At 55.9% G+C, this 22168-nt stretch overlaps 1 protein-coding gene across 6 annotated transcripts in view, besides 6 other annotated features; it reads left to right on the top strand.

Annotated features, from left to right (window-relative positions):
* Positions 1–22168, top strand: part of ADPRHL1 (ADP-ribosylhydrolase like 1) — a 53879-nt gene that overhangs the window by 19325 nt on the left and 12386 nt on the right. For 2 of the 6 annotated variants that reach the window (XM_047430086.1, NM_001394807.1), the window contains exons 3-7: positions 297–422; positions 5072–5212; positions 8985–9112; positions 9815–9947; positions 11185–11338. In XM_047430086.1, coding sequence (XP_047286042.1) covers positions 297–422; positions 5072–5212; positions 8985–9112; positions 9815–9947; positions 11185–11338 — 682 coding nt within the window. Of the gene's footprint in view, positions 1–296; positions 423–5071; positions 5213–8984; positions 9113–9814; positions 9948–11184; positions 12220–13392; positions 13633–19770; positions 20565–22168 lie in introns of those variants that run through there. The other 4 variants (NM_138430.5, NM_199162.3, XM_011537461.3 and 1 more) reach the window with 3 other exon arrangements.
* Positions 2831–3411: an enhancer, noted in NCBI's record as "H3K4me1 hESC enhancer chr13:114085068-114085648 (GRCh37/hg19 assembly coordinates)". NCBI's record gives its function as "activates a minimal SCP1, AML or CMV promoter by ChIP-STARR-seq in naive H9 embryonic stem cells {active_cell/tissue: H9 hESC(naive)}" and the evidence as "EXISTENCE:reporter gene assay evidence [ECO:0000049][PMID:30033119]".
* Positions 7741–8288: an enhancer, noted in NCBI's record as "H3K27ac-H3K4me1 hESC enhancer chr13:114080191-114080738 (GRCh37/hg19 assembly coordinates)". NCBI's record gives its function as "activates a minimal SCP1, AML or CMV promoter by ChIP-STARR-seq in naive H9 embryonic stem cells {active_cell/tissue: H9 hESC(naive)}" and the evidence as "EXISTENCE:reporter gene assay evidence [ECO:0000049][PMID:30033119]".
* Positions 10985–11696: an enhancer, noted in NCBI's record as "H3K4me1 hESC enhancer chr13:114076783-114077494 (GRCh37/hg19 assembly coordinates)". NCBI's record gives its function as "activates a minimal SCP1, AML or CMV promoter by ChIP-STARR-seq in primed H9 embryonic stem cells {active_cell/tissue: H9 hESC(primed)}" and the evidence as "EXISTENCE:reporter gene assay evidence [ECO:0000049][PMID:30033119]".
* Positions 12409–13121: an enhancer, noted in NCBI's record as "H3K4me1 hESC enhancer chr13:114075358-114076070 (GRCh37/hg19 assembly coordinates)". NCBI's record gives its function as "activates a minimal SCP1, AML or CMV promoter by ChIP-STARR-seq in primed H9 embryonic stem cells {active_cell/tissue: H9 hESC(primed)}" and the evidence as "EXISTENCE:reporter gene assay evidence [ECO:0000049][PMID:30033119]".
* Positions 15314–16314: an enhancer, noted in NCBI's record as "H3K4me1 hESC enhancer chr13:114072165-114073165 (GRCh37/hg19 assembly coordinates)". NCBI's record gives its function as "activates a minimal SCP1, AML or CMV promoter by ChIP-STARR-seq in naive H9 embryonic stem cells {active_cell/tissue: H9 hESC(naive)}" and the evidence as "EXISTENCE:reporter gene assay evidence [ECO:0000049][PMID:30033119]".
* Positions 16315–17315: an enhancer, noted in NCBI's record as "H3K4me1 hESC enhancer chr13:114071164-114072164 (GRCh37/hg19 assembly coordinates)". NCBI's record gives its function as "activates a minimal SCP1, AML or CMV promoter by ChIP-STARR-seq in naive H9 embryonic stem cells {active_cell/tissue: H9 hESC(naive)}" and the evidence as "EXISTENCE:reporter gene assay evidence [ECO:0000049][PMID:30033119]".

The following is a 22168-nucleotide window of genomic DNA, read 5'->3' as shown; positions in this document are numbered from 1 at the left end:
TTACAGGGAAAACATCTCGTTGAAAGCATGCTGCAAATCACGAGCATATCTCCAGGCCATCAAACGTTCTGTTTTTAGTGACTAACACCCGACACTTGGATGCAACCGAATTTGCCCCATCTCCTTTCTGCTGCAGGACTTGAGTGGCCTGCCCATGGCTCGCTCATTTAAACCACACTCTGATAACATGTTATTACACAAATTTTTCTACTTTTAAAATTATTCATGAAAGCTAGATTGTCAGGGGTGGAATTATTGGAGCAGAAGTCTAAACTAGCTCTTCCTTCTCCACACAGGCTCAGGGTTTGGAGCGGCCACCAAGGCCATGTGCATCGGCCTGCGGTACTGGAAGCCTGAGCGGCTGGAGACCCTCATCGAGGTCAGCGTGGAGTGCGGCCGGATGACCCACAACCATCCCACAGGTAAGTGTGGGCGGGGGGTGGGAGGGAGGTCAGCGTGGAGTGCGGCCGGATGACCCACAACCACCTCACAGGTTAAGTGTGGGGTGGGGGGCGGGGGCCTGGAGCTGCCGCCATCTGCACGTCTGCTTAAAGGAGACAGAAGCTGACCCTGCACCTGCCGGCTGCCTGCTGTGAGGGCGCCCTGCCCGGGACACTGGGCTGGAAATCTTGTGGGTTCACATCGATTTTTTTATTTGTTGGGGGAGTTGGCTTATTTTTTAATCTGCTTTGCTTAAGGCCTGTTTTCAGCCCAAAAGCAGGATTAGCGATAAGCACGGTGATGTTGAAGAAACTGTGCAAGGGAAGAATTCAGTGGTTTTGGTATCATTTGTGTCAGAACAAAAGACAAAGAAACGCACCAGTGCCTGGGTGCAGGTGGGATCGGGGGGACCCTGGGGACAAGGGTTTGTACAATACTTCCTGCATTTTCCTGCTGTGCCCTGGGTTGGCCCCACCACCCGCCGGCCAAGGGAGCCAAGGAGACCACGGGAACCACGGGAGCGGCTCCACCCCACGGGCCACAGGTTTCTAACCTGTAACGGGGCGACTGCCACATGTGAATCACACCCCCAAATCGGGCTGTGTGAGGGTGAAGCGGGTTGGATCATGTCGCCCCCTTAACACGGCACTTCCGTCCTTGTGGTCTGTGCCAGCTGGCCAGCTGCTCACTGGGATTTGTCCCCGTCCGCAGCCCGTCCTGTGGAGGGCAGGCCTCTGAGAGGCCAGGCTGGGGTGGCTGCGGTAGCGCCTGACTCTAGGCCTGACTTTGAAAGGTAATGAGGAGGCGGCTCGGTTGGCTTCCATTTAAAAAAAGCAAAAAGGACTCAAAACTCCTGACCTGCAGTTGGCCCTTAGTCCTGGCACCGCCCAGTCCCACGCACATCCAACAGCCACGCTAGCCTCGTTCAAGATTACCTTTTGGTATCTGCTGTGACTGGCATCCCAACAAGGAGGGCAGAGCTGCCCACCCCTCCGTGAGAACAGCGGTGAGCAACCGGCCTTCGATCAACACGCAGCTCTGCCGGCCTGGCCGTCCCACCCCCACTGAGTCTGCAGCAAAGCAGGTGCGTGCCTTTACTACCCTGGGGACAGATGGCCTAAGCAGTGGACTCACAGGCAACTTTGCTAACTCGTTAAAATGAAAGAGGGAAGGCACGTGACCCAACTGGTGGGCCAGAGTCAGATGCTGAGAAGGGAGCAGTGCTGGACTCCTGCTAGCTGAGTGCTGCAACTGGGCGCAAATTAAAAATTAAAACCTTCAGACCCGAAAATGTTGGGCATTTGCCAGGTGCAGGTGCAGCGGCTCACACCTGTGATCCCAGCACTTTGGGAGGCAGAGGCAGGAGGATCACTTGAGCCCAGGAGTACGAGACCAGCCTGGGCAACACGGGGAGACTCCATCTCTACAAAAAAATTAAAAATTAGCCAGGCATGACGGCACGCACCTGTGTTTCCAGCTACTGATGTAGGAGGATCGCCTGAACCCAGGATGTTGGGGCTGCAGTGAGCTGTGTTTGCGCCATTGCACTGCAGCCTGGGCGACAGGGCGAGGCCCTATCTCAAAAACAAAAAAAAAGCTGGACATTTGAAAACAATGTAATGAGCACAAGAATCTGTGTTAATAATTTAAATTTCTAAAACATTTGCTAATATATTTCCTACTCATATTTTAAAAATTATTTCACGGCCAGGCGCGGTGGCTCACGCCTGTAATCCCAGCACTTTGGGGGTGCCAAGGCAGGCGGATCACCTGAGGTCAGGAGTTCAAGACCAGCCTGGCCCCCATGGTGAAACCTCGTCTCTACTAAAAAATACAAAAATTAGCTGGGCACGGTGGTGCATGCCTGTAATCCCAGCTACTCAGGAGGCTGAGGCAGGAGAATCGCTTGAACCCGGGAGGTGGAGGTTGCAGTGAGCTGAGATCACACCACTGCACTCCAGCCTGGGCGACAGAGTCAGACTCCATCTCAAAAAAAAAATTATTTCACATGTTTAATAGATGAATAATTTATATATTCTATGATAATGACCAAAAATGTTTTAAGGGTTTGATTTTATGAAATTGACACTTCAAAGTGCTTTTTAACTCTACTCCCTTTTCCATTTTCAAACCACCTCTGGCAGTAAGAGCCACAGTTTGTGTTACAGCCTGCATCGCGTGCTCCCATGAGTCCAGAGCTGCAGCCACCCTGCGCGGGGGCAGAGCCGTAGGCAGGGTCAGGACCGGCCCAGAGCCCTGGGCTTGAGAACCATTCATAGACTCTTGCCGCTGCTGCAGCCCTCCCGCCGGGCCAAGGGAGGCCCTGATGAGTGCCTTCAAGAGTGGCCCAACAGCCGCTGGAAAGCGTCTCTGCAGCCTGTCTCTGCGGCCTGTCTCCGCATGGCGTGTCACGGGCAACCATGCTCCATGTAGCGGCCGTGTTGAGTGGCCGTTCACCGTGGGCCCAGCCTGGGCTTAGGGTCATCTTTTCCCCACGACAGCCCCGGCAGGGCAGTGTCACAGCCCCGGTGTACAGAGAAGTGGGATGTCAGAACGCACGCGGCACCCACCGCAGAGCCTGCCTCTGGCCAATGGCGCCGTGACAGCAGGCTCGCCCCTCTCCTAGGTGGCTGTGGGCCTCAGACACACCCACAGGGTCCACAGCAGAACCTTCTGAAGCTAACATGGCTCCAAAACAGCAACACAACCTCTCAGCCCCACATGCCCCATCCACAAGAGGGGTGATCACCATGCCCTTCACAGGCTCTCGTGAGGACTGAGTGGCAGATGACACCCTGGGAGCAGTGCCCAGTGGGGCAAGGGCTCGGCAACGGGGGTCACTGCTCCCCTGCATGGCCACTCGCACTGTAACTACTGCCACCACCACAGCTGCTCCCATCGGCAGCACCACACCATCCCTACTGCTGCTGTCGCTAGCAACACTGTCACCGCCACCACTAGTGCCACTGCCACCCCCGCCACTGGTGCCACTGCCACCCCCGCCACTAGTGCCACCCCCGCCTTTTATCACTGCTCCGCTTTTGTCACCAGTACAGCCATCACCACTATGGCTGCTGCTACTGGTCCTGTCACCACTGATATCACCAGTTCCTCCACATGATACCGTCACTAGTACGACAACCACTGCTGCAGTCACTGGCACCACACTGTTCCCACCCTGACCGTCACGAGTACCACCACCATTGTTGCTGCTGCTACTGGTACTGTCACCACGGCCGTCACTAGTCCTCCCACACGACTGCATCTCTGAAACTACATCATGAGTACCATGGCCATCACTTCGCCTCCTGCCACTACTGACCCGCAGCGGCTGCAGTCCCCACGATGGCTAGCAGTGAGAGGAGAGAGCTCATGTCTTTGGAAGAGGCAGCCCCTCCAGGGCTGTCTCCACCCAGACGGTGACCACGGGATTTCCAGGACTGTCCTGCCAGCCCTGGGCATTGTTAGCCTCATTATGGCCAGGATCATCGTAATTCAGATCAGTCTCTTCCGAGCTCCTCTCTGATGGCTTGCACACTAGCGGAATGAGGCCACTGCAATGGTGGATGGGAGCCTAGTGGGGCCAGACGTGGCCATGTTCCCTGAGAGCTGCGCACCCAGTGCCACCTGCTCCGTGAGGTGCAGGGCTGGCTGTGTGGACTGCGGGGTGAGCTCAGTACCCCAGAAGCCGCTGGCTCCATCTTTCCCCACTGCCCTGGAAGATGGACCAGGACAGGCCTCCCGGACTTCTTCCTTAACCGTGTTTTATTAAATACATATATACTCGCATGCATTTATTTTTCAGTAAACAGTTGTAAAATTTGACATACCAAAGAAAATAAGGGAGGCAGTGCCTATAAGATGAGCTCTGAGCTTGTCTGTGCTGATGAGCTTGCTGGCTGCTAATGCACGCCCAGAAGTTAGGCAAGAAAAGCCCCAAGCACCAGCAGGGCGAGTGAGTCGGCCCCGCACAGGAAACGCCTGAGTGTGCACAACGGACCCAGAGCTCTGCGGGGTCGCTCTCAAGTCAGGAGAGCCCCCACCTCAGCCTTCTTCCTGCACAGGCTCGTTAACTGATAATCCCCGGCCACGGATGCTAAAGGTCTACGTGACGCGGTGTTCCCAATAGCCAAAGGCGGAGGCAGCTCATGCATCCACACACAGATGACGGGCAATCAAAATGCGTTCGTCCACGCACGGAATGCGATTCAGCCGCGGAGAGGAAGGGAAGCCGTGGCGAGCCACGCGGGTGAACCTGGGGATGCGTCCTGAGTGGAACACGCCCGCCACAAAGGGACAAATCGCGTGCGGTCCCACGAGGAGCAGGCACCCAGAGCAGTCACATCCGGAGACAGAAAAGTCAACTGGGGGCGGCCAGGGCCTGGGGAGGGCGGTGGGGTGAGTGGAGTGGGGACAGAGCTACAGTTTGGGAAGATGGGGAGTTCCAGGGAGGATGGAGAATGTCCACAGTGTGAACGTGGTTAATGCCGCCGAACTGTGCACCTGAACATGGGAAAGACGGAAAACGAGCAAACCCTTCCTCGGGAGTCCCACGCAGCGTGGCGGGCGGCCCCAGGCCCTCCCAAGCGGCCCAGGTGATGGTGCCCCCTCTCTCTTCCCTGCCCTCCAGGCTTCCTGGGCTCCCTGTGCACGGCCCTGTTTGTGTCGTTCGCCGCACAAGGAAAGCCCCTGGTCCAGTGGGGGAGAGACATGCTGCGGGCGGTGCCTCTGGCAGAAGAGTACTGCAGGAAGACCATCCGGCACACGGCAGGTGAGCCGCTCCCCCGGCCCCAGTCCGCACTCAGAGCAGATCTGGACAGATCCAGCCCCTCCATGGGCCCCCAAATACTTCAAGGCACTTTCGCTCTTAGATGGAACTGGGAGGGCCCTGTCCGGGCCATGTGAGCAGAGCTGGCCTCGCAAGGCAGGCCCCATGCTGCTCCTGACCAGTCTGCCTCTGCCCTGACCTGGGAGGCTTTGCCTCCCCACCCGGAGCCTCAGAGAGACCTGAGCCTGCCGGGGACATTTGCCTCCGGCGGGTCCACCCGTCCCCGTCCACCCCAGCCCGCGGCACCAAGCGACTGGCAGCCACTGGGATGTGAGTGGGACCTGTGGTGCCCCCTGGAAAAACTCTGCTTCTGCCGGTTTGGGCGAGCTCAGGGCTGGGCCCTTCCCTCAGGAGCCCCATGAGGCTGGCCAGAGGCAGGGACAGCAGGTATGGGACTAGGAAATCCGTGACGGTTCCGGAAGATTCTTCCACCCCACGGAAGGTGCCGTCTAAGAGGGGAGGGGGCGGCAGGGGGAGCACAGGCAGCTTCATGCAGCCTTTGGCGTCCTTGCATGGTTGAGGAAATTGGAAATAACGTATCCAGTGTGTGTGTCCTTGAGAAGGAGAGGGAGGATTTGAATGTAGGATCAGGTTTGCTTATTTTTCAAAACAGCCTCAGGCTGAAGTCTTCTTGATTTTTTTTTTTTTTTTTGAGATGGAATCTGGCTCGTCACCCAGGCTGGAGTGCAATGATGCAATCTCAGCTCACTGCAACCTCTGCCTCCCAGGTTCAAGCAATTCTCCTGCCTCAGCCGCCGAAGCAGCTGGGATTACAGGCGTCCGTCACCACGCCTAGCTAGTTTTTTGTATTTTTAGTAGAGACGGGGTTTCACCAGGTCGCCCTGACTTCAACTGACCCGCCTTGGCCTCCCAAGTGCTGGGATTACAGGCATGAGCCACCTCGCCTGGTCTGAAGTCTTCTAGAAACAGAAAAACCAGTGAATCGCTTTATTTCCCCTGCAAGGCACAGGCACGTGTTCTGAAACGCCTTATGGGGGTCTGGTTCACAGCTTTCCACGGGGGTGCAGGCACGGATACCCGCCTGGACGCAGCTCAGGGGCTGCTCAGCCACCAGGCCTGTGCTGATGGGAGCAAGAAAGTCAGCGTCCGCACACAGTCAGTACCTCCTTGAGCCACTGCTCTGTGCTCCCCGTGACCGGGCCGTCCTCAGGAAGCGTGACTGCTGAGCACACCTGGCAGGCCACAGCACACTTTGTTTCCAGTGGTTTCATCTCTCTTACCGTTTGGTGTGGGAGCGGTGGGAGATGGCTAAGCGGAGGTTGCAGTGTGCCAAGATGGTGCCACTGCACTCCAGCCTGGACAACAGAGACTCCGTCTCAAAAAAAAAAAAAGAAAAGAAAAAAGAGGCCGGGCGTGGTGGCTCACGCCTATAATCCCAACACTTTGGGAGGCCGAGGCAGGTGGATCACCTGAGGTCAGGAGTTCGAGGTCAGCCTGACTAACATGGAGATGGCTAAGCCGGTGGTGCCGGGTTCTTTCCAGCTGAGGTTGTTGTCTGCAGCCAGGGGCTAAGTCATCTCCCTAACCCCAGGAGAGTCGCCCTGACCCACCTTAGAAACAGGTGAGCAGTCAGGCATGGGGCCACGCCATTACTGAATTCACAGTATATTAACGAATGTTCTCCCAGAACTTTGGTATTCAAAACGGTTTTCCTCAAAGCATTTTCTGAGAACAGTTGGAATTATCTAACCAGCAAAACCTCCTCCCCTTTGTGTTCATGGAATGTTTCTGACTGTTCTTCAGAAAGCTTTATTCTTTCTCTTAGGGATTTGAAATGCACAGATACCAGTTTAAAGCTCTGAGAAACAATCCTCCAAATAAATCTGTTATTTCAAATTTGTTTAACCCAGAGTTTCATGAATTCCCTTGACACAGAAACCTTTTTAACAGAGCATCTAAAATCATCCAGAGATCGTTAAGTCCCGTAGGACACCCTCCGGAAACACTGCTCTGGGCTTCTGACCAGCCCACCTGACACGGCCCTCTGCAGTGAGGACAGTTCACAAATTAGCTCCCTGCTTTTGTATTTAGACGTCTGTTTCCGAATTGGCCAACCCCGGCTGACTCGGGTGAGAGGCAGTGCTTTCAGTCTGCGCCCAGGTCCATGTTGACGCTCCACCCGGAGTTTCAGGCCCTGTGGGTTCATGGGATGCACCTGTGACCGCTGCCCTCTTACTTTTGCGTCTTTCACTTCCAATTTCATGTCGCTGAACAAGACCCTAAGGGGGCTGGACTTTTCCTTGTGTGAAACCAAGTTGGCCCAGAGTTTCGGAGGGCCTGAGTCGCGGGTGCCTGTGAGCCTCGTCCAGGTCCTGGTCCAGGGCTCTCCTGGCCTCCCTGTGGCCTGGAGCTCTGTGGCAGGAGCGTAGCCTCCCCGCTGCAGCCCTCCAGCTCTGCTCTCCAGCGCCCTGAGCTCTCCAACCACGGCCAGGCAGACAGGATCTGTGCCCTGTCACCTCATGTGATCGGCACACGTGTCCCTTGGGCCTGACAGCCACCAGCGGCCTGCACGGCTCCCACCCTCTGTGGCTCCCGCGGTGCCAGGGAGCAGGAGGTGGGGTGTGGCGGGCAGGGGTGCTCACCGTAAGGCAGGCAGGAGGGCAGTGGGCCCGGGTCTGGGCAGCTGCACACCTCCTGGCTCCACGGCGGGGAAGGCGATTCCCTGTGGTCTGTAGGGTGTGTAGCTGCAGGTTCAGACTCCCTTCTGAGTCAGCGTCCTCTTGGCCAGATGACCTCTTAAGAAGTCCCTAGAGCATTCAGGGGCTTGGATTTCAGTTAGGAGTAATGAAACATGCCACGCCCTGCTCTGCAGGCACAGGGCTAATGCAACAATGTAACGAGAATGCTTTTGCCCCATCTCCATCTTGCTTGCTGTCCTTTCAGAGCAGCTAAAGGCTGGGCATGGTGGCTCACACCTGTAATCCCAGCACTTTGGGAAGCCGAGGTGGGAGGATCACTTGAGGTCAGGAATTCGAGACCAGCCCGGCCAATATGGTGAAACCCCATCTCTACTAAAAATACAAAAATTAGCCGGGCGTGGTGGTGGGTGCCTGTAGTTGCAGCTACTCAGGAGGCTGAGGCAGGAGAATCGCTTGAACCCAGGAAGCGGAGGTTGCAGTGTGCCAAGATGGTGCCACTGCACTCCAGCCTGGGCAACAGAGAGAGACTCCGTCTCAAAAAAAAAAAAAAGAAAGAAAAAAGAGGCCGGGCATGGTGGCTCACGCCTGTAATCCCAACACGTTGGGAGGCCAAGGCAGGTGGATCACCTGAGGTCAGGAGTTCGAGATCAGCCTGACTAACATGGTGAAACCTCGTCTCTACTAAAAATACAAAAATTAGCCGGGTGTGGTGGTGGGCAGCTGTAATCCCAGCTACTCGGGAGGCAGAGGTTGCAGTGAGCCGAGATCACGCCACTGCACTCCAGCCTGGGGGACGAGAGGGAGACTTCGTCTCAGGAAAAAAAGAAAGAAAGAAAGCAGCTACAAATGTCAGCATGTTGGTAATTCTGGACAGTCTCTCAGTTGTTTACTCCAGGACAGGTGCTCGGCTTCTCCACATGCCTGCAGCTGGGTAGAGGGGGCATTGCCACTTCCCCGCCACACACACGCCCCCACCCTCCCCACCCCCAACTCCCTGCACCCGCCCCACTCCATGGATGCCATTGTGTTCAGCTCCCCTTGTTCTTTATGTTTAGAATACCAGGAGCACTGGTTTTACTTTGAAGCTAAATGGCAATTTTATTTGGAGGAGAGGAAAATCAGTAAAGACTCAGAAAATAAAGCCATCTTCCCCGACAATTATGATGCAGAAGAGAGGGAAAAGGTAAGCCTTGTCCTGGCACTGGGGCAATGTCTGGCACACCAGTGGTGCTCAATAAGTGCATAGCAAGTGGATGGATGGGTGGGTGGGTAGGTGAATGGATGGATGGATAGATGGATGGATAGATGGATTTTGGATGATGGGTGGGTGGAAGGGTGCGTGAATGGATGGGTAAGTAAATGGGTGGGTGAATGGATGAATAGATGGGTGGATGGATGGGTGGACAGGTGAATGGATGGGTGCATGGGTGGGTGGGTGGGTATATGGATGGGTGGTTGGGTAGGTGGATGGAAGGGCAGGTAGGTAGAAGCGTGGGTGAATGGATGGGTAGGTAAATGTGTGGGTAAATGGATGAATGGATGGGTGGATAGATGAATGGATGGTGAATGGATGGGTGGGTGGCTAACCCCATCTCTACTAAAAATACAAAAAATTAGCCACGTGTGCTGGTGTACGCCTGTAATCCCAACTACTCGGGAGGCTGAGGCAGGAGAATCGCTTGAACCCGGGAGGTGGAGGTTGCAGTGAGCTGAGATTGTATCATTGCACTCCAACCTGGGGGACAGAGCCAGATTCATCTCAAAAAGAAAAGGGTGGATGGATGAAATGGCAGTTCACTAGGAGGGGCCCAGAAAGCTTGTGCTGTAATATACCCAGAAGTGGCTCCACTTGGGCACACGCCCCGACCCACGGCTCTCTTGTCAGACCTACAGGAAGTGGAGCTCGGAAGGTCGAGGGGGAAGACGAGGCCACGATGCCCCCATGATAGCCTATGACGCCCTCCTTGCAGCAGGAAACAGCTGGACTGAGCTGTGTCACCGGGCCATGTTTCATGGAGGTGAGATGTTCCTTAATGGCCGTGGCTTCCTGGAGGGTAGCACCCTTCTTCTGAAGCACCCCCTCGGAGTGTCCTAGGACTGCAGGCATTCAGGGGCCACCTCCTGAGCTCCAGCATGTGCGTCCATCTCTTCCTTTCTGGAACCCACTTTGGGAGGGCACAGGCTCCAGGGTATACCTGCTGACCTAAGCGTGCTCATGTGAGGACATTACAGGATACAGGTGCAGCTGCAGGTGCCTGCTGTGAGCTCCAGCAGACCAAGAGTCTCTCACCTGGTCCACGAGCCTGGAGGCCAGTGCAGCCTTAGAATAGGTGGGGTGTAGGGGTGTGGGGGCTTCTGCCCTTGCCACTGCTGCCTCAGGCTGGCCACCTTCACAGGGTTCCATTCCAAGGTCACCGTCATCTTGTCCTTTGCTCTGCAGCCTCTGTGCAAAGTCGCAGACTGTGGCCTGGAGTTAGGTCCTGGGCTCGCATCCTGCTCCATCCGTGCTGGCTCTGTGCCGCCCTGGCCGTCTCTGGCCATGGAGGGAGAGGAGGAAGCCCAGCAGAGTGGCTGTGGCAGCTCCAGGCAGCTCCTACCCGTAAGGTCAACCCTGTGCCTTGTGGGAGCAGCTGTTATGGTTCTGTGAGACTGGCTGAAATTGCCTCCCTTCAGTGAGGCTTGGAGCTGAGCTTGACCACAGACATGAGCTGGGAAAACACAAATGTGGCCCCGTTTGGTCAGGAAGCCTCTGCACAGAGCCGGCTCAGCCCCTGGAGGGGTTTCCTCCGTGACCCCAGCTCAAGGGTGGGACCATGCGGCCTCGGGCTCCCCTCCCTCTGCCTTCCTTCTGCACCTTCCTGGCACCTCACTGACTCTTAGTGCTGAAACACCGCTTCACACAGATGCCTGCCCCAGGGAGGGAGAAGGGAAGCGCCTGTCCCCCTCCTGTTTGTTTTTGGGTTTGTTGTTTTTTTTTTGAGACAGGATCTCACTCTGTCACTCCGGCTGGAGTGCAGAGAGGCAATCTCGGCTCGTTGCCACCTCTGCCTCCCGGGTTCAAGAGATTCTCCCATCTCAGCCGCCTGTGTAGCTGGGATGACAGGCGTGAGCCACCGCGCTGGCCTGCCTGTCCCTTTTATCAGCTGCCCCCAGCAGAATTGGGGTTTGGCCCACCTTAGGGGCGGCCAGCCCCAGGGGTCTTGCAGAGGCCCTGGTCAGGTGGAGCCCACTGCAACTGCTGCCTTTGCGTTTCAGGGGAGAGCGCGGCCACGGGCACCATTGCAGGCTGCCTGTTCGGGTTGCTGTACGGCCTGGACCTCGTTCCCAAAGGCTTGTACCAGGACCTGGAGGACAAGGAGAAGCTGGAGGACCTGGGCGCGGCTCTCTACCGCCTGTCCACAGAGGAGAAGTAAAGCCATTTCTGCCACTTTCCCCCTAGAGAGCCGATTCCACCCCGGGGCCCGTAGGGCCCTCTCGCAGCCCCTGGGTGAGGGTGTCTCTGTGAGGCTCCACTGCGGTCTGTGCCTGACTGGCCACATCTAACTCTCTGTTTCCAATTTCAGAATCCTAACTGTTGCATAAAATACATTGTTTGTCCTGCGAGAATATTTTCCGTCCTCCACCATCAACATTGACACTGCGTAGATTTGCCGCACTTGGACCTCCATGCGTGGCACTCACCCGCAGTCTCCTGGACAGGCGCTGTATTTTATTCTGTCGCAGAGCTAATGCTGTTTACTCACTCACTTCAACAACACTAACTGCGGTGGTGGCCTCCAGCAGGCCCCCCCGCTGCAGACCCTCTGTCCTGCCTCTGCCTCCAGGCATGCGTTTCCCCGTGAGGGCCAATGCACCTCCCCCCACCCCCCACCCTCCCATGTCCACAGTGGGTCGTGTGTTCCTGGACAGAGAAACAGTCCACACTGGGGCCTGCGGGACACATATAGCAGCATATTTTGCTCTTAACCCCACCCACCTTTTTAATCACACTAGATTTTAAGATCAATCCCTTTTTGAAACAACTCACGGAGAAAACCAGAACATAAATGGCCTCCTGCCAGCTCCGGCGTCTCTCTGTGGTCTGCCTTAGTGGGCCAAGTCCAAATGCAGAGAAGGCCTTTCCCTTCCGCGCCTGCCCCATCGGGCTCGCTGACGAGGAAGCGCTGTCCCTGTGATGAGGTTCTCTCTCAGAGAGTCTTGGAAAAGAGACCACTTGCTCTTGTTTAAAATAAATTTGGACGTGATTTTTCCATGCAGCATCTGGTGTGAATAAAACAGCAGTTGACTGATGTTTACCGCTGTGCTTGGCCGCTTGGCTAGGGCCTCTCTTTTTGTTGTGATTTCATTAAAGGGCTCGCCTCTGGGCAGAGTTGGAATCCCAGAGGAAGCCCCAGCCTCAGGGAGAGAAGGCACTGGGGCAGAAAGCCTGGTTGGTTGGAATCTCTGTGGGCATCCAAAATACAAGCCCTACCCCCACGGGCGTCTTCTTCTATGGGATGATTTGAAAGGGGAAAGTGGTGATGTCTTTATGCTCCCACTTAGGATTCCTGTGTGAGTGGACTGGCAAGAGAGGCTGGTGGACTTCACAGGTGGGGGCCACGGACTCCCAGCTCCCAGGTGCATTGGGTCCAGGCTTCCCGGGCCAGCCCCGCCAACCACTTCCAGGCGCCTCACTCCCCGGCCGCCTCCCCTTGATGGAAATGACCCCTGCATTCATTCAGTGCAAGGAGCAGGCGTGTCCCAGGGGTAGAGGTGTCCTGGGGGTAGGCATGTCCCGGGGATGGGCGTGTCCCAGGGATGGGGGTGTCCCCAGGGGTAGACGTGTTCTGGGGGTGGGCAAGTCCCGGGGGTGGGCGTGTCCCAGGGGTAGAGGTGTCCCGGGAGTGGGCGTGTCCCGGGGGTGGGCGTGTCCCGGGGTGGGCGTGTCCCGGGAGTGGGCGTGTCCCGGGGGTAGAGGTGTCCCGGGGTGGGCGTGTCCCTGGGGTGGGCGTGTCCCGGGGGTAGAGGTGTCCTGGGGGTGGGCGTGTCCCGGGGGTAGGGGTGTCCCAGGGGTAGGCGTGTCCTGGGGGTGGGTCTGTCCTGGGGATGTGCGTGTCCCGGGGGTGGGTCTGTCCTGGGGATAGGCATGTCCTGGGGGTAGGGATGTCCTGGGGATAGGCATGTCCTGGGGGTAGGGATGTCCCAGGGTAGGCATGTTGGCGGGGGGTAGGGGTGTCCCAGGGGTAGGCATGTCCCAGGGGTTGGCGGTCCTGGGGGGTGGGCGTGTCCCAGGGCGTGTCGGGGGGGGTAGGGTTGTCCCAGGGGTGGGCATGTCCCAGGGGTAGTGGTGTCCCGGGGTGAGCGGGTCCCGGGGGTGGGCGGGTCCTGGGGCTAGGTGTGTCCCAGGGGTAGAGGTGTCCCAGGGATAGGGACACGCTTTGCTTTTTCCATAGAGATGCCCCGTTCGTTTTGTGGGAAGTGTAGTCCATGCTGATGGAGGAATCCGTGGCCTTCTATGCTGCAGCAATGTGGCTCCGTGCTGAGCTTCCGAATAACTGGACTAACTGTGCTGCTACTGGTGCTTTAAGTCAGAAGAACCAGAGAGACAGGCACACGGGGGCGAAGGGCCTCACGTCACACACGTCCATGGAGTGTGGTCCCAGCACCCGTGGGTGTGGGGAAATTAACTGAGAATTACCTTTCAGGAAAAGAAACCCAATTAAGGTAAGTCGGAACTGTTGCTAGCATAAGTAACACGGTCGTAGTACCTGTTTTGCCCGCTTACCGGAAAGTGGGCTTCCCTCTCCACCCTGCTGTATGGAAGAGAAGGCCAGCTCGCATGAGCAGGGCGCGGCTGCATTCAAACAGGGTGGACTCGGTCTCCATCCGCAAATCAAACCCCTCCGTGAGAATCAGAAAGTGAGTCTATTTACAAACTGATTATAGATTAAAACACACAAACACAAAATCCACAAGCATCGTAAACAAAAGCTGGCAGTGCCTTGCTTCACTTTCCTGTTACAGAGACACCCAAAAGTTGAAAAGAAAAAGCCAAAGAAAGCACTGAGGGGACACTGAGCCAACTCTGCTGTTTAAAACGGCACCGGCAGGTTTCATTTTTGCGATAAAAATGACGTGTGCACAGCTTCGCGAATCCAAATGCTGTTAAAGGCGGCGTGTGGGGAAAGCTGCTTCCAACCACCCAGATAACACGGTCACGGTCGCCTAAGCCTCCTTCCAGGAGCCTCCTCACACACCCCCCGAGCTGTGTGCCTGTGTGAGACACACCTGCTTATGTGAGATAACAAGGCCATGCTCTCCTCCCAGGAGCCTCCTCCACACACACACCCTGGCTGTCCACCTGTATGTGAGACACACCTGCATGTGTGTGCTATGCCACACACACTATTTCTTTCCCCAAACAGGAAGCATGGTATATGTCATGGTTTGCTTTTGGCTGTTTTCATTAAACTAGGTTTTAAAATATTATCTGTATCACCATACATAGACCAATCTGCGCCTTTTTAACTGCTGCCTAGTATTCCATTGTACTCCTGTGCCATAATTCAAATACCCCATGGATGTGGCTCTCAGTGGTTTCCATCGCGTGAGTGGCATTTGCAAACACCTGCTCTTATGGCGACTTCCAGTGTTGCTCCCCAGCTCTTCTGAAAAGGACTTAGTCTCTCCCTACAGCGCAGCGATGCTGTATTTCATTCTAGGATTCATTTTTGTATTTAATTTTTCTGAAATTGTGGTGCATCTTATATTTTATGGTGTCCATAGTTTAAGTGATGGAGTTTTTATTTTTCTTTCTCCAAGACATTCTTATGAAATAAGGTGTGGCCAGGTGGCTCAGGCTTGTAATCCCAGCACTTTGGGAGGCTGAGGCGGGAGGATCGCTTGAGCTTAGGAGTTTGAGACCAGCCTGGGCAACATGGCAAAACCCCATCTCTACAAAAAAAAAAAAAAAAATACAAAAATTAGCTGGGTATGGTGTTGGCGCCTGTAGTCCCAGCTCCTTGGGAGACTGAGGTGGGAGGATTGCCAGAGCCTGAGAGGTTGAGGTTGCCGTGAGGTGAGATCACATCACTGTACTCCAGACTGGGTAACACAGTAAGACCCTGAAAAAAAAAAGAAAGAAAGAAAAAAGAAAGGGAGGGAGGGAAGAAGGAAGGAAGGAGGGAGTGAAGGAAGGAGAAGAAGGAAGGGAAGGGGAGGGGAAGGGGAAGAAAGGAAGGAAGGGAGGGAGGAAGGGAGGGAGGGAGGGAGGGAAGGAAAAGAGGGCACATTATACAACCTCTTAGGCCCAGCAAGGTGTAGCTCCCCAGGGGTTCTTCTCTGGGAGCATCAGTGTTGCACATCCCTGTGGATCCGCATCTCTTGCAAGACATCAGGCACCAGGAAGGGGCAGGCAGGAGGATGAGTGCCTCTCACTCCCAGATGGCAGACAAGGGTGCTTCAGAGGAAGGTGGGGTCCAGAATATGCCCATTCTCAGCCTGAAGCTATTGGCAGACACCTTTCTCTCAGGCCCACGGATGTGAGCTCTGAAGCCAGGACTTGGGATGGAGAGTTCCAATCGTGGCTGAGAAAGGACATGTGTGTCCTCATGAACACACCACACAGAAGTCACACACTAGGAACATGTGCCATGTGGGAATATGAGCATGTCAGTAACACACACATGTTTAGACTTCAGGCTGATTTAGATGAATCCGTTTTCCCAAACTCTTTGATTAGAGATTTTGCATTTATATTTAAAATTATTGTGTCCAGTGTTTTCATATCTGAAAGCCATGGCAGAGCTGTCCTTCCTTTCCCACGTTGGAGGAAGCGGATCCAGGGAGGCTCGGTGACTTGAGTGGGCAGGGCAGCCGCTCAGAGCACCCAGCCGAGGAAGTGGCGAAGCCCAGCCCCCGTCAGACCGAGAACCATGCTGCTGCAGGCTCCCTAATGGCCAGCCATGCAGCAGGTGGCATTTGAATGTTATTTCCCCTGTCTATTCCATGCTCCACTAGAAGCGGGGCCCTTTTTACTACCCCCATTTTGTAGACAAGGAAACTAAGATTCAGGGGGTCTGAGTATTTCTCCCAGAGCTGCAGTTCATGAGCACAGAGTAGCTTTTAAACCCGACGCATCCGAAAACCACACTCAAGCCTTCTCCCCTTCCCCTAATTCTGGAAGACCTCACCACCACCACAGCCCTCAGCAAACCCTGGCGATTGCATAACCTCAGGCCCAAGCTGCCAGAAGCCAATGCCACCTGTTTTGGCTGTGGGTATAAAAATTAATAAAATATCAGCTGATAAAATTGGTAATACCCAAACTGATGTTCAATCCAAACATCTGTGCTTTAAAAACTCCATCATTGAAATGCATTCCAAAGGTCCCATTAGGTTGGAAATAACTGGAATCTCAGTGCAGGCACTGCAGCTCCCCTGGTAAAAATCCCTCGTGTGTAAACGCATTTCCAGTTAACACACAGAAGCTTCCCTGGTTAAAATCCCTGGTGTGTAAACGCATTTCCAGTTAACACACAGAAATAAGTTATCAGCTCACTTAGCCTGTTGCGGGAAAAGCATTCACATGAGTCTCAAAGAACAGCCTGAGACCGTCTCGGGATTCGTGTGCCACACCCCGAGCAGCGGCTGCTGGTCAGCAAACAAGGGCTGAGACAGACAAAGGCAGGGATAGCGCCTGATCTGGGACAGACAGACAAAGGCAGGGACCGCGCCTGATCTGGGACAGACAGACAAAGGCAGGGACTGCGCCTGATCTGGGGCACTCTGTGTCTGGCACCACACACATCGCGAACGTTCTGTCTGATGGCCACAGGGGCGGTCCCCAGGGTCTGAACCATCGTGTGGCCCTGTGGGCAGCATCTCCCTGCCTTCCCCATCCTCCTTGTACCCTGAGAAGGGCAATCGCCCAGGACCCCCCACTCTGGCTCTCCCTCGGGCAAGACAGGCTGCACGACCTGGGGCCCTGGTGGTGCCGGCGGGGACCATGACCAGCCTGCAGATTGGGGGGACAGCCTTGTCTTGTCCCACACACCAGGAAACCAGAGAGCACAGAGTCCCCGGGGCCCTGCCAGTGGGGTGCTGGTGCATCCGGGGTTCCGCAAAGCATCGCCTCTCCCAGCAGCCGTCTGTGCTGTCACGGTCCTTGAATGACACCTGTCATGACGCAGCTTTGCTGTCTCTCTCTCCTATCTTAATGGTTCACTTTTAAGTTTGTTTCAAAAAAACTAGCTCCGACAACTCCCACGCCCCTTTGCCCAGGATCAGCAGCCGTTAATATTTTCCCTCATCTCTCACTGCACACACTCGTGCATTCGCACGCACACCCTCGCACATATGAGCACGCACACACAATTGTTTCTGAAACATTTGAGAATAACCTGCCGACCCTATATCCTCTCACCATAAATATTTCAGATGAAATTCCTCAGAAAAGACAGGCTCTTCTGTAACCACTGTTTGCTTATTCAAAATCGGAATTTAACCTTCAATAACGCTATTATCCAACATAACAGCATCCTGTTGCAATATAATATACTATATTGTGTTTTTATTATGTGTTAGAAATTGTGCCTACTGCTTCATCGGTTTCCTTTATAATCTATATGTTTGTAGCACAAATTGGTGACAGAAGCTCACTAACCCGATACCCTGTATGTCCCACAGGTACTGAGGGACCCTAGGCAGTTGCTGTAATTAGGCGGCAGGCAAGCATCCCTGGAACCCTCTGCTGACTTACTCATGTCTCAGGCCTGGGAGAGCATCCAGCGCTTATGGCCTCAGTCAGCCTGGGATGGACAGTGTCCCCATTATCAGTCACAGCCGGCCGACTAGACATCCCTTCGTTGGTCACTGCCGGTTTACCAGACGCCCCTTTGTGGGTCCCAGCTAAGTCAGTCACATATAAGATCTTATGTAGGTCACAAAAAGATGTTCAGGTCAAGGCCTTGGGGTATCCTAGCCCAAAAGTCCACATCGACCATTAGCCAGATTTATTTCCAGGAAATACAGATACTCAGGTTCTCCAGCTGATTCATTAGTACAGTCTGAGCTATTCCCCACCTAGTTACAAAAAATCAACAGGGAGCAGTTAGCAAACACTTGTTCTCGGCTTTACTAGATAGACGGTGACCGTTGCAATGATGCTCAGAAGCTGCTGGGGAGGGGATTGGCCAGATCAGCTCTGCCGCCGCCTGGGGGCCACTCTCGGCCACCCCACGGGATCCCAGCCGGGCCCCTGGCCTTCCAGGATTTTTAGAAAATACTCATCCCTTGGGGTTAGATTTTCTTTTTCATAAATCTAATATTAGATTCTTTAGTAATCTCTCCTCAGCCTTTGGGCTAAGATCAAGTATAGATTTATTTGTAAAATGTTAGGAGCCTCAAATTAAAGGGATCTGTGTTATTTAAAACCAATTTTAAAAAAACTACTAAGGAGGCGAGCTTGCTTCTCTCTCTCTCTCTTTTTTTTTTTTTTTTTTTTTGAGATGGAGTCTCACTCTGTCACCCAGGCTGGAGTGAAGTGGCACGATCTCAGCTCACTGCAACCTCTGCTTCCTGGGTTCAAGTGATTCTCCTGCCTTAGCCTCCTGAGTAGCTGGGACTACAGGTACACACCACTGTGCCCAGCTAATTTTTGTGTTTTTAGTAGAGTTGCGGTTTCACCCTGTTGGCCAGACTGGCCTCGAACTCCTGACCTCGTGATCCGCCTGCCTCGGCCTCCCAAAGTGCTGGGATTACAGGCATGAGCCACCGCACCCAGCCCTTCTCTTTTTATAACACTAATTCGGTGGACCCTGCCTGGTCGCCTGGAGCCGGCCACTGAGCCCACGCCTGGCTGGCCTCTGGGCAGAACATTTCCTGTCATCAGTAGAGCAGCTGGGCCATGGAGGCCACTTATTCAATGCCTTTGGTTAAACCCTTTCCAGGTCCACACTCTGCTTGGGGACCACATCGCGGGCAGGCGTTTCTCACCCTGCCCCACCCGGACACGGGCAGGTCCGCGTCTCCAGAAGGGCTCTCGTCCCTCTAGGCTGACCAGCAAGAACCCCAGGAGCCCAAAGGTGCAGCCCCAGTGTCTCTGTCCATGAGCTGTGGAAGGGACTCTGCCACCGCAGCTGCCAAACGGCCCCTCCCCTCTCCTCACCTGCCCCAGGGGGTTGCTGGGCGCTGGCTACCTAGGGAGGTGTCGCCCTCCCTGATCTTCATGGCTTCAGGGGAAAATGGGCACAGAACAAGCAGCCATAAAAACAGAAGAGGCTGAGCTGGGCATGGTGGCTCATGCCTGTAATCCCAGCACTTTGGGAGGCTGAGGGGCATGGATCATGAGGTCAGGAGTTCGAAACCAGCCTAGCCAACATGGTGAAACCTCATCTCTAAAAAAATACAAAAATTAGCTGGGCGTGGTGGCGGGCCCCTGTAATCCCAGCTACTTGGGAGGCTGAGGCAGGAGAATGGCTTGAACCCGGGAGGCGGAGCTTGCAGTGAGCCGAGATCACGCCATTGCACTCCAGCCTGAGTGACAGAGAAAGACTCCATCTAAAAAAAAAAAAAAACAGAAAACAGAAGACCCCTGCTCAGCACACTCAGGGAGATGTGCAGAGGCACGTGGCCCTGCCCCTGGAAGAGGAGCATTGGCACCACAGCGACAAGAGCAGTTCCACAGGCACAGATGGAGCCACAGCCAGGATGTGTGCCCCCAGACAGGCCTGTAGTGCCCTGAGAGCATATCGGGGAGGCCGGGACTGAGCTGTAGAGGGGAGGGAAGCCGGGGGCTGAGCCGCAGAGGGCAGGGAGGCTGGGGACTGAGGGAGGGAGGGTGGGGGCCAATCTGCCAAGGGGAGGAAGGGGGGGCGGCTCCAGGCTCATCCGCAGAGGGGCAGGAAATGGCAGTGCAGGCCTCTGGTGTTGATGGAGGCCCAGGACATGTTTTCTAAGCGCTGTTGGCCGAGGGCATCCAAGTGTCCCTGTCAGAAACATGTGGAGGCTGGCACAGGGATGTGTGTGACATGGCTGAGGCTGGTCCGTGTTCTGAGCAGGCTCCTGGAACAGCCAGACAGTTGCAGGCCCAGCTGCCACGTGAAACCGGCCCTGCCCTTCTCTCAGAGGAGGAAACTGCGGCTGAGGGTGTTCCCTGCCGCAGGGCCAGGCTCGGGTGAGCCCAGCACAGCCACTGACTGGGCAGAACAGTGACCTCCAGGCCCTGCTGGCCAGAAAGTCCCCAGCAAAGAACCTGCCAACAGGGGCTGCTGTCCATATCATGGTGGGCCCGGGTGTGTCTCCTGCGCTGTGATGGCCTCTAGTCTCATTGTATTTTCAAACGACCTCTCTGGCTGGCCAGAGCCACCAACAACTAAATTAGGAAAGCCGGGCACCCTGCTGTTTATATTGGCCCCTGGGAGGAAGACATTCCATTCCCTGTGGGTTCTGCAGCTTGTCCAAGTGCTGAGGGGACGCTGAGGGAGGCCCGGTCTCGCCCCGCACTGCTGGGCGGGCAGCGGTCACACAGGGCAGCCCAGACTCCGCCAGCGCAGCTCTGACCGGGGGCCTTTTCAGGAGGCTTTGAGGGGTGGGGCTGACGGCCCAAGGGGCAGCACTGGCTCCAGCGCATGAGGACGCGTTCACTCAGCAGCAAGGTGTGCAGCAGGGGTGGGAAAGGGCGAGAGGCCCACCTTCACAGCAAGTGAAGGCCCCGATCACAGGGCGCCTCGGGAGACACGCAGAGCCCCACGCGGGAGTCGCCGAAAGTCCTGGGCCCCCCTCTCAGTCCATGACTTGGGGGCGTTCCTGGCGTCCACGCTGTTCCCCTTTGTGGGGACATAGAGGTCTGTGTGGGTCACCGTGGGGCTCACAGAGCTGGGCCTCTGGGAAAGGCTCCCTGAGGTGGGGGCATCTGAGCCGGGTTGTGAAGGATGAATAGGAGCTCGTCAGGGAGGCAGCGAGGCTGTTCCAGGCTGAAGGGCACAGCGAGGTTGGGCGTGGAGTGGACAAACAGGGTGGAGGCTGGAGCTGGCAGAAAAGGGGGTGGCCAGGAGAGAAACAGGGTTGTGCAGTGGGTGAACCGAGTTCTGCGAGGCGCTGTTGGCGGTGGGTGAACCGAGCTCTGCGAGGAGCTGTTGGCGGTGGGTGAACCGAGCTCTGCGGGGCGCTGTTGGCGGTGGGTGAACCGAGCTCTGCGGGGCGCTGTTGGCGGTGGGTGAACCGAGCTCTGCGGGGCGCTGTTGGCGGTGGGTGAACCGAGCTCTGCGGGGCGCTGTTGGCGGTGGGTGAACCGAGCTCTGCGGGGCACTGTTGGCGGTGGGTGAACCGAGTTCTGCGGGGTGCTGTTGGCGGTGGGTGAACCGAGCTCTGCGGGGCGCTGTTGGCGGTGGGTGAACCGAGCTCTGCGGGGCGCTGTTGGCGGTGGGTGAACCGAGTTCTGCGGGGTGCTGTTGGCGGTGGGTGAACCGAGTTCTGCGGGGCGCTGTTGGCGGTGGGTGAACCGAGCTCCGCGGGGCACTGTTGGCGGTGGGTGAACTGAGCCTCCGGGGCACTGTTGGCGGTGGGTGAACCGAGCCTCCACGGGGGCTGTTCGCCACCCACGGGTCTTCTGCCAGCCCGCCCGGCTGTGCCCAACGCTGCTCTGGACTCGGGAAAGTAGAGACCAGAACCAACAGGGGTCCCGCCCATGCAGGGGCTCTGCTCTAGTGGGGAGCTGGGCAGAAACAGGGGTGACTTGTTGAAAAGTGCACTCGGATCTTAGAAAATTATAGAGCTGTGGCTGGGCGCGGTGGCTCACGCCTGTCATCCCAGCACTTTGGGAGGCCGAGGCAGGCGGATCACGAGGTCAGGAGATCGAGACCATCCTGGCTAACATGGTGAAACCCCGTCTCTACTAAAAAATACAAAAAATTAGCCGGGCGTGGTGGCGGGCGCCTGTAGTCCCAGCTACTCGGGAGGCTGAGGCAGGAGAATGCTGTGAACCTGGGAGGCGGAGCTTGCAGTGAGTCGAGATCGCGCCACTGCAGTCCAGCCTGGGCGACAGAGCAAGACTCCGTCCCAAAAAAAAAGCAAATTATAGTGCTGTGACAGTAGTCACCCGGGATGTGCCAGCAGCAGCAGCACACGCTGAGCTGGGGGCTCCCAGAATCCCCCAACCAGTGAAACCCAGAGCACAGAACATGCTGAGCCGGGAGTAGACCCCGGAAGAAGGAACCACCCGCAGGTTCAAGGAACCCAAAGACAGCAGCACCTCTGGGGC

The sequence above is a fragment of the Homo sapiens genome, chromosome 13 (genome assembly GCF_000001405.40).
Source record: "Homo sapiens chromosome 13, GRCh38.p14 Primary Assembly".
In the NCBI taxonomy this organism is placed as follows: Eukaryota; Metazoa; Chordata; class Mammalia; order Primates; family Hominidae; genus Homo; species Homo sapiens.
This window is presented reverse-complemented; position numbering and strand designations above follow the sequence as displayed.